Source organism: Homo sapiens, chromosome 16, assembly GCF_000001405.40.
Source record: "Homo sapiens chromosome 16, GRCh38.p14 Primary Assembly".
Lineage (NCBI taxonomy): Eukaryota > Metazoa > Chordata > Mammalia > Primates > Hominidae > Homo > Homo sapiens.
Window position 1 is genome coordinate 76,867,666 of NC_000016.10, and position 14,397 is coordinate 76,882,062.

General features: G+C 37.2%; 1 non-coding gene and 1 pseudogene across 1 annotated transcript, besides 1 other annotated feature; one reads left to right on the top strand and one right to left on the bottom strand.

Annotated features, from left to right (window-relative positions):
- Nucleotides 1–1,270: 1,270 nt before the first annotated feature.
- Nucleotides 1,271–1,354, top strand: MIR4719 (microRNA 4719). The gene has a single exon (NR_039870.1). It is a non-coding gene; the product is annotated as a microRNA 4719 (primary transcript).
- An 8,787-nt stretch (nt 1,355–10,141) lies between these two features.
- The window catches only part of LOC100128497 (mitotic spindle assembly checkpoint protein MAD2A-like), a 50,279-nt pseudogene continuing 46,023 nt past the window's right edge, over nt 10,142–14,397 (bottom strand).
- Nucleotides 13,365–13,534: an enhancer, noted in NCBI's record as "experimental_44798 CRE fragment used in MPRA reporter constructs". NCBI's record gives its function as "activates a minimal promoter by MPRAs in K562 erythroleukemia cells, with activity observed for both the introgressed and non-introgressed 16:76915012 variant alleles {active_cell/tissue: K562}" and the evidence as "EXISTENCE:reporter gene assay evidence [ECO:0000049][PMID:34662402]".

The following is a 14,397-nucleotide window of genomic DNA, read 5'->3' on the forward strand; positions in this document are numbered from 1 at the left end:
TTAGCTGTATAAACAGGATATGCTACTTAACTTTGATAGCTTTAGTTTTCATCGTGTGGAAAATGGAGAGGATGCCCATCTCACTGTGTTTTTATGAAGGTTAAATGTGGTTATAGATTTAAAATATGTTGCATGCCTTGCACGATACTGGCTTCCCATCAAGAGTTTTGAGTATATTACAGGTATTTTCCCCTCTTCTTCCCTGCTATCATTCTCAGTTGTCTTTTGGTGGAAGGTAGCAGATTGGATTAAAAGATTGCTTTTTTTTCTTTTCTAGAGTTCAACTAGGCCCTTTAATGTTGGAGGAACCAGGGATATTCTGTGGACATAATTCTGGACAGCAGAACCTAGTTTTCTCCATGCAGAGGAGAATCATGCTGTCCTCAGAGGGTTTATTCTTAAGCAGTTCTCACTGACATGAGAGACAGTGACCCAGTGTGTTGGCATGGAGGGATGGGCAGGAGTGCACCTTGCAGTAGGCAAGTTCTCCTCTAGTACATGGAGCTGCCTCCACGTCACACACTCTGGCAGCAGAAGTTTTGGTGCTGTGAAATCTGTGTTCTCTAGGGATGACTGAAGTTGTCATCCCAAAGAGATTTGAAGGGAATATACTCTCTCTAGATACAAATAACACATATCCTATGTGACAGTCTGTCTTCTTGTTGCTTGATTTTATCCTGATGTTCAGTTGACATTACTGCTTTATATAGAAATGGTTAAGTGACTTTTTTTCTTGTTTACTTTTTTATTTTTTATCACCTGAGCAGACATACATACAAACACACTTACATGTTTATATTATATTATATATTTACAACCCAAGGTTAAAAATGATAGAGCTGCGGTGCTTATAAACAATTTAGTAAACCTGAAATTGTTACTAATACAATTTAAGCAGTTTAGTTAACTTTTTAAAAATTACCAGCACTTGTAAACAAATGTTTCTTAAAAATGTGTAAGAACTAATACTCCTGCATACAAATTTTAGTTGATTTCTCTCCTTAGTTTTAATGGAATAATAATGTTTTATTGTCATTATCTGATGGACATGATTACTGCAGATATTTTATCATGTTGGCATTATGATTTAGTAGAATTTTACCGTTTAATTCTTAAATATACACAGAAACACTGCTCAGAGTCCTCTGGGCAATAATATCTGGTACAGATGCATGAGGGAAAAAGAGCAAAGCTATTACTGTTAGGAGTGTCTGGTCACTTAAATCTTTCACACATCAGTGGAAGAATAGATTTCTTAGTGCTGAAAAGCACAATGATGACTTGTATGTTATAGATTTGTGATTACATTAAAACTTAAAATTTCACAAATCTATAATATGCAGGTCATCACTGTGAAAACTATACGTTTGCAAAAGCCTTAAATTATATAAATCTTTATGCATTTAGTAAAACGTTATTTCCTTTTATGTTGAACTTTGTCATGACCTGTTCTAGAATATTACATGGTATTGACTTTTGAAATGGCAGCAAAGGAACAAGTTTCTTAAATATCTATTTGATTGATTTACATTCATGCAGATGCATTAAGTCTTTCACTGGTTGATGTTCTTCTTTCCAAGTGGATTACAATCAGATTGAAGACCAACTTTCCAGATTCTGCCAAATCCCACTTCTCACTCACATTTCCAAGATTGTCTCAGGAACATTCTTCAACAAACATGACAACATCAAGTCTTTCAAGTAGTGATTTTTCTTTTTATGAATGTAGGCATTACTCTGTGAAAATGAATTACATTAATGATAAAATGCAAGAAACTAACAGCAAAACATCTGATATAAGACAAGATAAAATGTGACACATTTATTGAATATTAAATAGTTACTTAGGTTTAAATATTTAAAACTATGTAGATATATGGCAATCTCAAATACATCCAGAATATGAAGGGGAAATTGAGTTTAATGCATATACCTATATTTTCTTAATATTTCTGTAAATGTAACACTAGCTATTTTGTGTAGAGTTGTAGCCAAGTCAAGAAACCAGTCTTAGTCTATAATGGTTTGAGACCTTGACGAGTAAATTAATACCTTTTGGTTTTATTGATGACAATACTGATGTCTGGGATAGGAACTTTGAAAGTCATTTCTTCTAAGTAGCAAAGCTGCTTGTTGAATTGCATTTTCCATTATCTTTGCTGAGGGGTTCCATAGTCACCTCTGCATCAACATCTCCATTCAACTTGTCATTTTCCCTTCAGTCCTTAGGCTGATTCTAATTTCTATTGATTAATAAGTGGCATTACATCTTGCCTGTTCAGCCAGTCTCAGCCTCATGTCCTCCTCACATTCCATATCCATTCTTTTTCTCCACTTTCTACATTTGACTGATTGCCAAGACCTATACATTTTAATTCTATAATAACTGCCCAATCTATTTCTTCTCCACTACTGCTGCAACTACTTGAGTTTGAGTCTCCATCGCTTCTTATTTGGATTACTCTAATGAATATATAACAGATCTCCCCACCTCCAGTCCTGTTTTCCTCCAACTTTTCTTCATAGGGTTGTTACCATATTCTTGGAAAATAAAAATCAAGTCGAGTTACCCATCTTCCACTGCTGCCCACTTCTTGTTAAAGGCCTTGACTGGCTTCTCTTAGATTAAAAAAAAATCAAGATAAGAATTGAACTGAACACTGAGAACACATGGACACAGGGAGGGGAACAACACATATTGGAGCCTGTTGGAGGCACCAGGGGAGGAAGAGCATCAGGATAAATAGCTAATGCATGCGGAGTGTAATACCTAGGTGATGGGTTGATAGGTGCAGCAAACCACCGTGGCACAGGTTTACCTATGAAACAAACCTGCATGTCCTGCACATGTATCCCACAACATAAAATTAAATTAAAATTCGTATTAGAATTGAACTATTAAATTTTGACTGAAAGAGAAAAGGGTAGATGCATCTCATTTTCTTCACCTACAAAATGCTATGATCTAATTTGATTAAGGACTCATCAGTCTCCCCAAATTCTACCATCATAGATGAAATTCCTGTGCCTGCTTTTCCTGGCACCAGTGTATCCTGTGCCTCTACCACCATATACTGTCTATCTCTTAGACACCCAGCTTATAATAGAGAAGACAGAAACCAAAAGAATTGTTGATTCTTAGGATAACTTGGGGCATGCCTAAGTATGCCCTAAGAGCATACTTTCAACACTGAGTCGAGAAGAATTACTGAGTCTTAGGATAATTTTATGAAACAAATAATGCCCAGGGATATCATGCTCTTGCTTAAAGTCCTTGACTGGCTTCTCTTAGATTAAACAAAAAATCAAGATAAAATAAGAATTGAACTGAACAAGGAGAACACATTGACACAGGGAGGGGAGCAACACACATTGGAGCCTGTTGGGGGTGCAAGGGGAGGAAAAACATCAGGATAAATAGCTAATGCATGCGGGGTGTAATACCTAGGTGATCTGGGATAGGCTAGTTGATAATATCTTCTGAGATAGGATGGCCCTATCTTAAGACAGAGTGCAAAATAATTATTGAGTCTTAGGGTAATTTTGTGAAGCTAATAATGCCCAGGGACACCATAGGATGTCCTGTCTCAAGGATGAGTCCAGAGCATCCACGAAGGTTTTATATATGACCTCTGAGCAAGTTAGAACATTGCCAGTGTCTTTTCCATTCAGCCATATCACATCATAACAGCTCAAATGTGGCAATACATGATTGGCGTTATAAAAGAGGTGATAAGAAGGCTTTTGATGCTTGTCTTTTGAAAGTATTTATATTCTTGACATTTCAGATTTTCTTGACATTTCAGACTGTACATACAACACTATCAAGTCAAGCGAGGTTCTCTATCCATTCCAACTTGTGTGTCCATGTGATTCAAATCAACTCAAATCTCTGCTTGCACAGCACATAGCAGATAAGAATCTACAATTTAAGGGGTTACCTTGCATTTAAGGAAAGGAAAAAGACAGAAAAACCTGTTCAGCTAGACAGAAGGCAATATTGACATCAGACTGGAGCCATTAGCACTTTGATAATGAAAATTCTGACATAATCATGTTCAATATGTTGTCAGCATATCTTCTCATTTTTAAAAGATAGTCATCAAAGTGAATAAATTTCTTAAGAATTCATAGGGAGTAAACATAAACTATGCAGATGCTCCATGTAGGTCAGAGTTTCTCAACCTTGGCACTGTTGACCTTTGGGGTAGGATAGCTCTTTATTGTAAGGGGACTGTCCCATGCATTGTAGAATGTTGAGCAAAATCCCTGGCCTCTAGCACCTTCCCCCAGTCCAACAGCTCAAATTGTCTCCAGCTATTGCCCAATGTTCCCTTGGAGTGGGGTGGCAAAATTGCTCCTCATTGAGAACTAATGCAAATGAAAGACATGGTCATTTTTAGATTCATGACACATTATTGGGTTATTTTTCAGTGGTGAAGAAGAAATGCATGTTGATTCTTTTCCTATAGCATTAGTGTTCTTTATATGTCTATGGAAAAAAGAGACAAAGAAATAATTTATAAAGAGTGGTATTCTGAACTTCGTGAATAAATGCTTTTTATTGTATCTTTTAGGAGGAATATTTCAATAGCAAGGTTTTTCCCCCCTCTATGTTCTGCCTTTCATGGTAATCAAAGGAAAGTATAATATAAAGATATTAACTGAATATCAAGGGCTAACGATATAAAAGTATAAATAGAAATAGAAAATGAATTTTCCCCGAGGCAAAGAGAGATGAGAGACAGAGGACAAAGCAGGACAGAAAAAACAGATCTCTTCTGCTCTATTTTATTAATTCATTTAATTAAGCAATTATACTTCTTGCTATGGACCAGGACATTTTTACTTTATTTTTTGTTGTTATATCATGTAATCTTCATAATTCAATTAACTAGGTGCTATTAATATTTCTATTTTGCAGTCGTGGAAACTGAGGCATACCGAGGTTAAATGACTTGGCACAAAAGCACACAGCTAGTAATTGACAGGGCCAGGTCATGCCTGATGCTACTTTCAGCTCCTGTATTTAAACCCCCTACTCCAGTCCATTTGTGCTTCCTGTCTGCTTAAGTAGGACTCTCTGGGATGCAGGCTATAAAACAGCTTTGCTGCACGAATTTGAAATGGGTTCTTGGTGTCTGTTCTTATAGCACTGGGAAGGAAGTAAGACCAGGAAAGGGAGAAAGTGAGCTGTGATGCATTTGCAATAAAAACCTCAGCTAATCCTATTAGGAGATCTACAGTGGGGAATGGGAGGGTTCTGAGTTTTCCCACCTTGAGTTTGGGGATGAATCTATCAAATCATAGACTAGTTGCTGAATGCATGCTGTTTCCAGAAGGGGATGCTACGTTAAACATGGCAGTACTTTTCAGCCAAGGGCTGTGCTCAGTTGAGAGCCATCAACTGGGAGGTCAGGTTCAATGAAACTGTGCTCTCCAACTTTGCCCTGGTCAGTGAATGAATAGAAAGGCATAACATTTGTACAGTGTACTGGGGAAATAGAAACAGCTGGTGGTTGCCAGGAAAAAAATGACCATGACTTCTAACCACTGTAGGTCCTACCTGGTCTTACAAAGACTGTAGTGAATCAAAGCAGTGCCGTGCTATCACCATTATCCACATACGGCCATGTCAGGGCAGATTTGTCGGGGGGCACTGCAGTAAGGAACTCTCTGTGCCTAGGTCCCTGGATAAGGCACCTCCTTCTTCTGATTGAAAGTTTCCATCCACAGCTTAGAAGCTGGATCCCGGCTGCAAAGTTCCCAGAAATCTCTTTTCCTTTTATAGGTTCCATTCCTCATTTGTATTTGTCAGTCCAGGCGGCTGGGGCAGTGGCCTGAAGGACCTTGGCAAAAATATCAATCACCGACCTAGATTTCCACTGCAAGAATGTGAGGGAAATCAGTCAGAATTGGCAATATCTCACAATTTCACTGATTTTTCCCCAGAGTTAGTTTGAACCAAGTGCTGCTGGACGGTGCTGCCCCTCTTTAGTGTGGACTTGGTGACCCAAGATGTGTCTATCATGTGTCCCTGTGATCTTCAACACATGGCTCCTAGGTTTTCCCAGGGATGAATTTCAATCCACAGTCATCTCCAGAAGTGTGGTTGCTTCTGTAGAAGAAATAGGTCCTTTTTGTGGCTGAATTTGGTACCTTTTATTTCTTGAAGCAAAACTACACTCTCCAGTTTCCCTCTGGCAGTTCTGAGTTCAGATCCTCTTTGACCGTCACCATGGACTCGGTGCTGCGTGACTTCGGCTGCAGTATCTTTACCCATGAGAAGAATGAGAGAGCCCTCCACAGAGGCCAGTGTAGGAGTCCTGGTAGGCACCAGGGTTAGGACCACAGATGGTCTCTATAAATGTGGAGTATCAAGGCTTGGGCCAGGCCTGCTGCTGAGGCATGGAGGCAGCCAAGTTTGTAAATCATTCACTTGTTTGAAAACCATTTGTTGACAAGACTGCTCTTTCCCCATTAAATTTTTTTCGGCACCCTTGTGAAAAATCCGTGGCCGCGTAGTATTCCATGGTGTATATGTGCCACATTTTCTTTATCCACTCTATCATTGATGGGCATTTGGGTTGGTTCCAAGTCTTTGCTATCGTGAACAGTTCATGTCCTTTGCAGGGACATGGATGACACTGGAAACCATCATTCTCAGCAAACTAACACAAGAACAGAAAAGCAAACATGGCATGTTCTCACTCCTGAGTGGGAGTTGAACAATGAGAACGCATGGACACAGGGAAGGGAACATCACACACCGGGGCTTGTTGGGCGGTGGTAAGACACACAGTGCTCATCACAGCATGAAGAAAAAGCAGTAGAGAAGGCAGCTGAGACCAGATATCAACAAAGGCAGCTCTTCTGGACTCCCGTGTAACTCAGATAATAGAGACCATAAGCCGCTGTCTGTATTTGGGCACTAGAAAGTCTTACCAACCTTGTGCTGGGGCTTCGGGATTCAGCACCATGTCACCAAGCACCTTGATCAGAATTCTTACATGGCTCGTGGTAAAACCACAAAGGAAATAAGAATTCAGCTGAAATGTAGTTTAATATATTTGCTGAGAATCCTTTCCTCAAAAGTAACTTTTATGGCAATGCCTGTGTGTGTGTGTGTGTGTGTGTGTGTCTACTCATCTAGACAAGTACATTTTAATGTCAATTATTAATAGTTCTTCTGTTTATTTTACTGACTTTCTCTAAATGGGGAAGAAAGTTCACTTAATTTACAGCTCAGTTTCCACCATATTGTTGAAACAAAGAAAGTCCCACTTTTTAAAAGTTTGGTTTTAGGTTTGTATGGTTAGGCTCAAGAAAAAAAATAGAATGAGCGTTAAAACCATGTTATAATGATTTTAGCTAAAATTACAGTATATTAATTAAAGAAACATAGTTTCTATATTGCTTTTCTGAATAAAAGTACATGAAATTGCCTATTGGCACTTGAAGTTGATTTCCTGTACTGGCAAATATCTAGTTACCAAATGATACAGTACAGAATAAGAATGGGTCATATTGATTAGCTTAGACCAAAGATTGTGAAAGTGGCTGGGGCTTATTGTGTTTTCTTAATTCACTCATTCATCTATTCAACACAAATGGTCATCCTATTATGTGCAAGACATTGTGTCAAATGTGGTAGGAGATAAAGACATAAAAATGAAAGGTCAAATTCATTTTTTGAAAGTTTATACATAAACATTAGTCTTAAGCTAATACAAAGATACTACTATACGATCTCATGCTATGAATACTGTTCACCTGTAGGGTTCTTTATTTAAGTGTTCTTCCAGTTATGTGCAATAATTACCTGCAGATAATCCAGTTGGAGAAACTTGATACTTTAACACGGGACCAGATAATCTCAATTAAATAGGTAGTAGAATGTGAAAAAAAGAAATTTTGACTATTTTTTGATGACCCTTAAAACATTAATATCATGTGTGCATGAAAAACAGATTGACAAATATCATGTACTAGTTTAACATATGATATTAATATCATAAGGGTTAAAAACAATCATGCTCACTGAGTAAATACGTTAATATATTTCATATAAAATTGAGTATACTTTTAAATTCTCCACTATTTCAAATTATATCTAAAGAAAATAAAGAATAACAAAAATGTTTGTAAATATTTTTTCAATGCCAGCATTCCAGCATTTGGGATGGTAGCTTTTATTAAGATCTTAATGTGTCAATCTCAAAAAAATGCAAACACATGCAGGTTTCAGTGGAAAAGTTAAAGTTAAATTAAAAACAAATTACCTTTTTTTACCTACAGAAGTGAGTTGTAAGCATTTGTAAGGAAAGCACACATTGCTGAAAGGAAGGAAATGCAGCAGAAGATGAAAACTAGATTGGCTCAACGTTTTGCTTGGGAGTGGATGTTTTTGTAAAATATGCAGAAGCCCAGATTGGTTTGTCTAAGTTATTTCTGGTAGCATTTAATCTTGTCAAGTTTCCTTTGGAAAGTTTAACAGTTGACATCTACAGCAGGAAGAGTGACAGAAATTGTATTTTTTTTTTTTTACTGCTGATGATATTCTTTTCTTTTCTCTGTATTTCATTAATTTGTTAGAGATTTTTATTTTATGTAAAAAGAACCATGTTGAGCCTTTTAGAAAAAGGATGTAAGAATATTGTTTGTTCCTAATCGCAATATGCTTTTAATAGAGTAATATCAACTGGTCCATCTGTCTATGGAGAAGAACAAGAGAAATCGCTTTAGTGTGTAATTTGTTTCTTTGGCACATGTTATCAACAGTGACTGTATCACAACTATCCAGTAGGCACACAATTAGTTTCTTTTGATTTTTGTTATACTTCAGCTCATTTAGCAATTAACTTAGCATTTTCCCTGGGCAACAGAGTATCACTTGAACATCTTAGTTTATGTGAACATGTGAACATATAACTGCCTCATTGAAAAGGGGCAATTCAAAAGCCATATTTAAACATTGCTAACTGTCCACATATTGGAGAAAATATGCATTTGTTTAATTGGAGCATCAGACATATCTGCCTGTAGCAGTATGGTGTTGCCCAGGATTCCTCACAGCTTCATTAGTGATGGAGTAATTTGCAAAACAACATATTTAATTGCAAAGCACTTGAAACTTTGTAGTCTGCATTTAATTCAACCTAATTCTACACTTGGTCTATAATGATAGATGAGAGAGTAATACACTGATATTTTAAAATGACCCACATATTAAAGTTTATATAAGGAAGACAAGTTTTGAAATTTACATGCTGTCACATAATGACAGCACTCTCAAATTCCCAGAACCCTAGAAGAATGCTTAGAGAGAAAAGCTTTGGAAAGTACCATTAGAATTAATACAAGATCTATTCTAATAGACACTGTATGAAGTGCTTTGTATATGTTAACATGTAGTTCCCAGGACTTCCCTGAAAAAGCATTTTATTCCCACATTAAAGATGGAAAAAAAAAGTCTAGAAGATCAGTAACTAAATTCAGATTATAAAACAAGAAATTAGAAGATTAGAATTTCAACCTGAATGTCTCACTCAGCTTTTCCCCTTTCCATGTTGTCCTATTTGTTTAGAATAAATGTGACATGTCTTTATATTTTTAAAAGGCCTTTAAAATCCATATAGTATCTAGGTCCTATATTTTTAAGGTTTCTTTTTTTTTTTTTTTTTTTTTTTTTTACTAAATACTATAGATCTCTCAGAATTCCTTCTGTAACCGAATAGTTATCAGATTACTATCAACCTGCAAGTCTGTGACTCCTGTATACCACTGGGAGCCATTAGGTGCTAGATGTGCTATTTTTCATTCATTCTTTGAGTTAGTGTTTAGAGTCCACCATGTGCTACACATTGCATCAGGTCTTGAGACACAAAGTCCCTGGTCTCATATGGTTAACCAGTTTTATTTAAAAACTTTTTTTTTAAACATACAGAAACTTTAACTTCATTTCCTCATTTTTACTTAAAGCTTAATTTTATAAAACACACAAACACACAAAAATGTGAAGAGTTCTGTATCACAAGAAATTAAATGGTATAAATAATCCACTGCTTCATAGATTCAAGTTACACAAATTGAAATCTAATAATTGAAAATTTATTCAACATGGAAACTATACAATGAAATAAATGACAAAATTACCTACCAGAGCATTTCACAGCTTGTGAATTATTAGTTTTAGGATCTAAACAAAGATTGAGTATTCAGACTTCTGTTGTATTTTATATTTATATATTGCTCTACCTGTATGGAGTAAAGCTACTTAGTAAAAATGTCTGATTTACGAAAACATTTAGCTTTATAGCAAAAGTTTTTTCAGCTACAGTTACCGTCAGCAAAGGAAGTAACATTACAGTGCTGACAAAAATCTACCGGTTCTTTTTCAACAATGTGCAATCAATTCATTACATTAACTCCAAGGTAGGTCAAACAAGTACCAAAGAACAGAACAATTACACACAGTTTAGTAAAGTACAATGTTGGTTTTTCCCATCTAAAAATTAACCAGTGAAATAAGACATCAACTATGGTTGAGTTGGTTTCAGGAAAATCATTTGAAAATTACAGGTATATTATTTTCTTCATCTCATCCTCAGTCATTGACAGGAACTTTGTAAGCCACCGTGCTATTTACTTTGTGGACTAGGTAGTAAATGCAGAAAGACAGACTTCCTCAGAATTGGTCACTCCTCTTCCCATTTTTTCAGGTACAACCAAATCTTTGTATAAATCAGTAGATCAAAAGAAAAAGGTCATTCCTCTTCCCATTTTTCAAGTACAACCAAATCTCTATAAATCAGTAGATCAAAAGAACAACTTCCAACAGTGGCAGAAATGTCACTGTAGCTGTGATCTGATTACTAAACAGATTTCATCCTGGATAGTTTTCTGCGACTATTCTCTGGGCCCAAGATGATCTTTTGCAGTCTTATCACACTTAGGGTCAAACTGCCATCTTTGAAGGACCTCATCACTTTCAGTTGTTGAGATGACTCCAATCAGTTTCTGACCTGAACGTTTGTATAGCCAATGCTTTAGTTGTTCCACCGTGTTATTTAGGTGTTTCATGAGCTCAAGATTAGTGGTTACAAGCAAGGTGAGCCCATATTTCCACACTGGAGTAAATGTTCCAGATGGATATATGCCATGCTGAAATAAAATGCTGTTGATGCCAAATGAGAAGAACTTGACCACGATTTTGGCACTCCTGCACAAGGTGATATCCTTCTCCCAGGAAAGCTTTAGTGCATGGGCAGGCCCATGGACCAGGATACATGCCTTTACCTGGCAGACAATGTTCACAGGTCCCACTGCAGCTGTTGACCAATTGTTTCAAAAATTACCAGGTTAATAATTATTTAACAATTATTAAATTTGAATTTTATTTCTCACCTTGCATTACAGTCAGTCATGGAATGATAAAATAACAATAGTTATTATGCTACAAAAAAAGAAAAAAACTGGCCTAGACAGAAATCAGGTAAATACTTTTAGAATCTTGGATTGGTGGTAGGCTTCCTAAATAAGTCCCTAAATATGTCCATGAAGGAGAAGAGTGTGTTTTGACTTCATACAGACTAAATTATCTATATATTTAAAAGACCATAAAATTACATAATGTGTGCAAAGCTAGGAAAGATATTTATAACTTATGCTACACAAATGATTAATATTCTGAAATTATAAAGGGTTCTTAAATTTTTAAAAAGATAGAAAATAGGACAAAGGACACAAAGAAATATTTCAAAAAATAAATTTAGAATGTCAAACCCATGCAAACATGTCTTGCTTGAACAGCAAGCCAGGACATGGGAATGAAATTGGTGTGAGACGGTTTTGCGCTCCTTAGACTCACAGTACAGAAACGGGTAACATCCAGCAATGCTGGTGTGTCATCAATCTCAGCCCAGTCCCACTGCCTTAATTTGGTGTTGCAGTTGACATTATTTGGATCCACAGTGCAGAGTCCACCTTGTTGCCAAGGTATTGCTTACAGTCCCTGGAAACCTTGATCCTATTTTGTTCTGCAGAATAAATTCTCAAAGGGGAAGAAATTGAGTGGCAGGGTCTGTTTTCCTCTTTGCTAATCATCCCCCAACACTCGCTTTCATGTGTTCCTTTCTGGAACCTAGATGTTAACAGATATATAGGAAAGGGGAGGTACATAATGATACGTGTACTTACACATTTGAATAGTTCAGAGAACTCTTCTCCCCCTTTCTCACCGATACCTGAATTTTCTGGTTATAAGAAGCTAATGGCAAACAACAGCATGCAAGTAAACATTGTTTAAGGTTATCAGTCATAAGCTACCTTGAACACTGAATTCTATTAACTTTTAAAAGATACTTTTATATGTATTCTACCCAACAGAAATCTTTACTATTAGTTATCTTCATCAGGATCATACAACTGTTACAATGTCAATACTGTCGAGGGTATTTTGAAGTACTTTGCCTTTTTTGCTGTGAAAAGCACACTTCTACTTATCACAGTTTGGGGATGCATGATTTGAAGAACTATTCATTATATTATGATCATTTCAGCCAGAGGGGGAAAAGCTTTCTGTCAATTTATCTGCTACCTAAATGTTCAAAGTTGTAATTAATTAGGAGGCAAGAATGTAGAGAAAATGCATTTCAAAGATAAATCTAGTCGCTGAGAAGTTCATCATATCTTATAATTTTCCCATCTCTATAGCAACTGTCAAATACATGTCTGCCTACAAATTTAGAAACAGAAGAAATTATAGAAGGGCGTAAAAAAAATCTGGCACAGGAAGGGGAACATCACACATTGGGGCCTGTTGTGGGGTCGGGGGAGGGGGGAGGGATAGCATTAGGAGATATGCCCAATGTAAATGACGAGTTAATGGGTGCAACACACCAACATGGCGCATGTATACATATGTAACAACCCTGCACGTTGTGCACATGCACCCTAGAACTTAAAGTATAATTTAAAAAAGAAAAAAATAAAAATAAAAATAAAAGTTGATTATTTCAACTTTCAAAAAAAAAAAAAAAAATCTGGCAGCAAGCCAAAAAGGATATCTGACATTTGCATATTTGTTGTCAAAAATCTACCATACGATTGGGCTCGAGTGTTGAAAAGCATTGAGCTCTTGAATGTTTGTTCTACTTTATTGTTTCCTGAATGATCAGGGAGAGACAGAACAGAGGTAATTCTACCTTTATTTGCCCAAGGCTCATTATAAATTCAAAGTCAGTCATGTAATTATGGTATCTTATATCAAGAAGGCCCAGCCCCAATTGCTCATCCTCCAGTCTTCCTCCTATAATTTAATATAATCATCATATACCCAGGTGCTCAGGAACAAAACCCTGGAAATAATAAAATCTAAATATAACCACTTATCACCATCTTTATTCTAAAGCTGTTTCAAGCTACCGACACATCTTACCCTGATTAGCAGTTACCACAACCCATTGACTGAACTCACCATTTCTCCCTGGCCAACCCCTGCAGAGAAGCAATTGCTAAAGTTGTTTTAAAAGCATGTATTGAGCCGTGCACGGTGGCTCATGCCTGTAATCCCAGCACTTTGGGAGGCCGAGGTGGGCGGATCACAAGGTGAGATCGAGACCATCCTAGCTAACACTGTGAAACCCCGTCTCTACTAAAAAAAAAAAAAAAAAAAAAAAAAAAGCCGGCTGTGGTGGCGGGCGCCTGTAGTCCCAGCTACCCAGGAGGCTGAGGCCGGGGAATGGCATGAACCCAGGAGGCGGAGCTTGCAGTGAACCGAGATAGCGCCACTGCACTCCAGCCTGGGCGACAGAGTGAGACTCCGTCTCAAACAAAACAAAACAAAACAAAAAAAAACCCATATATTGGATCATACCATCCCTGAAACTATCAACCTGAAACTATACAATGAATTTTCATCCCACGATGGCCGCTGTCAGCTTCCCAGAACTCAGTTCTACTCTTCAGTTCTCCCCATCATTCATTATGGTTTAAACACATGGGCCTTCTTAATAGTCCTTAAATTAGCCCAGCTTCTTCTCAACTTAGCACCTTTGCACATGACCAGCTTAATGTCATCATTAAAGTCTCAGCTCAAACATAAAGAGGCTTCTCTCAGGCAGACACAGTGGCTTATGCCTGTAATCCCAACACTTTGGAAGACCAAGACAGGAGGATTACTTGAGCTCAGAAGTTCGAGAGTAGCCTGGGCAGCATAGTGAGACCCCGTCACTACAAAAAATAAAAATAAAAAAATTAAGTGGGCATGGTGGTGTGTGCCTGTAGTCTCAGCTACTCAGGAGGCTGAGGTAAGAGGATTGCTTGAGCCCACGGGGTTGAGACTGCAGTGAGCCATGATCGCACCATTGCATTCTAGCCTGAGCTATGCAGTGAGAC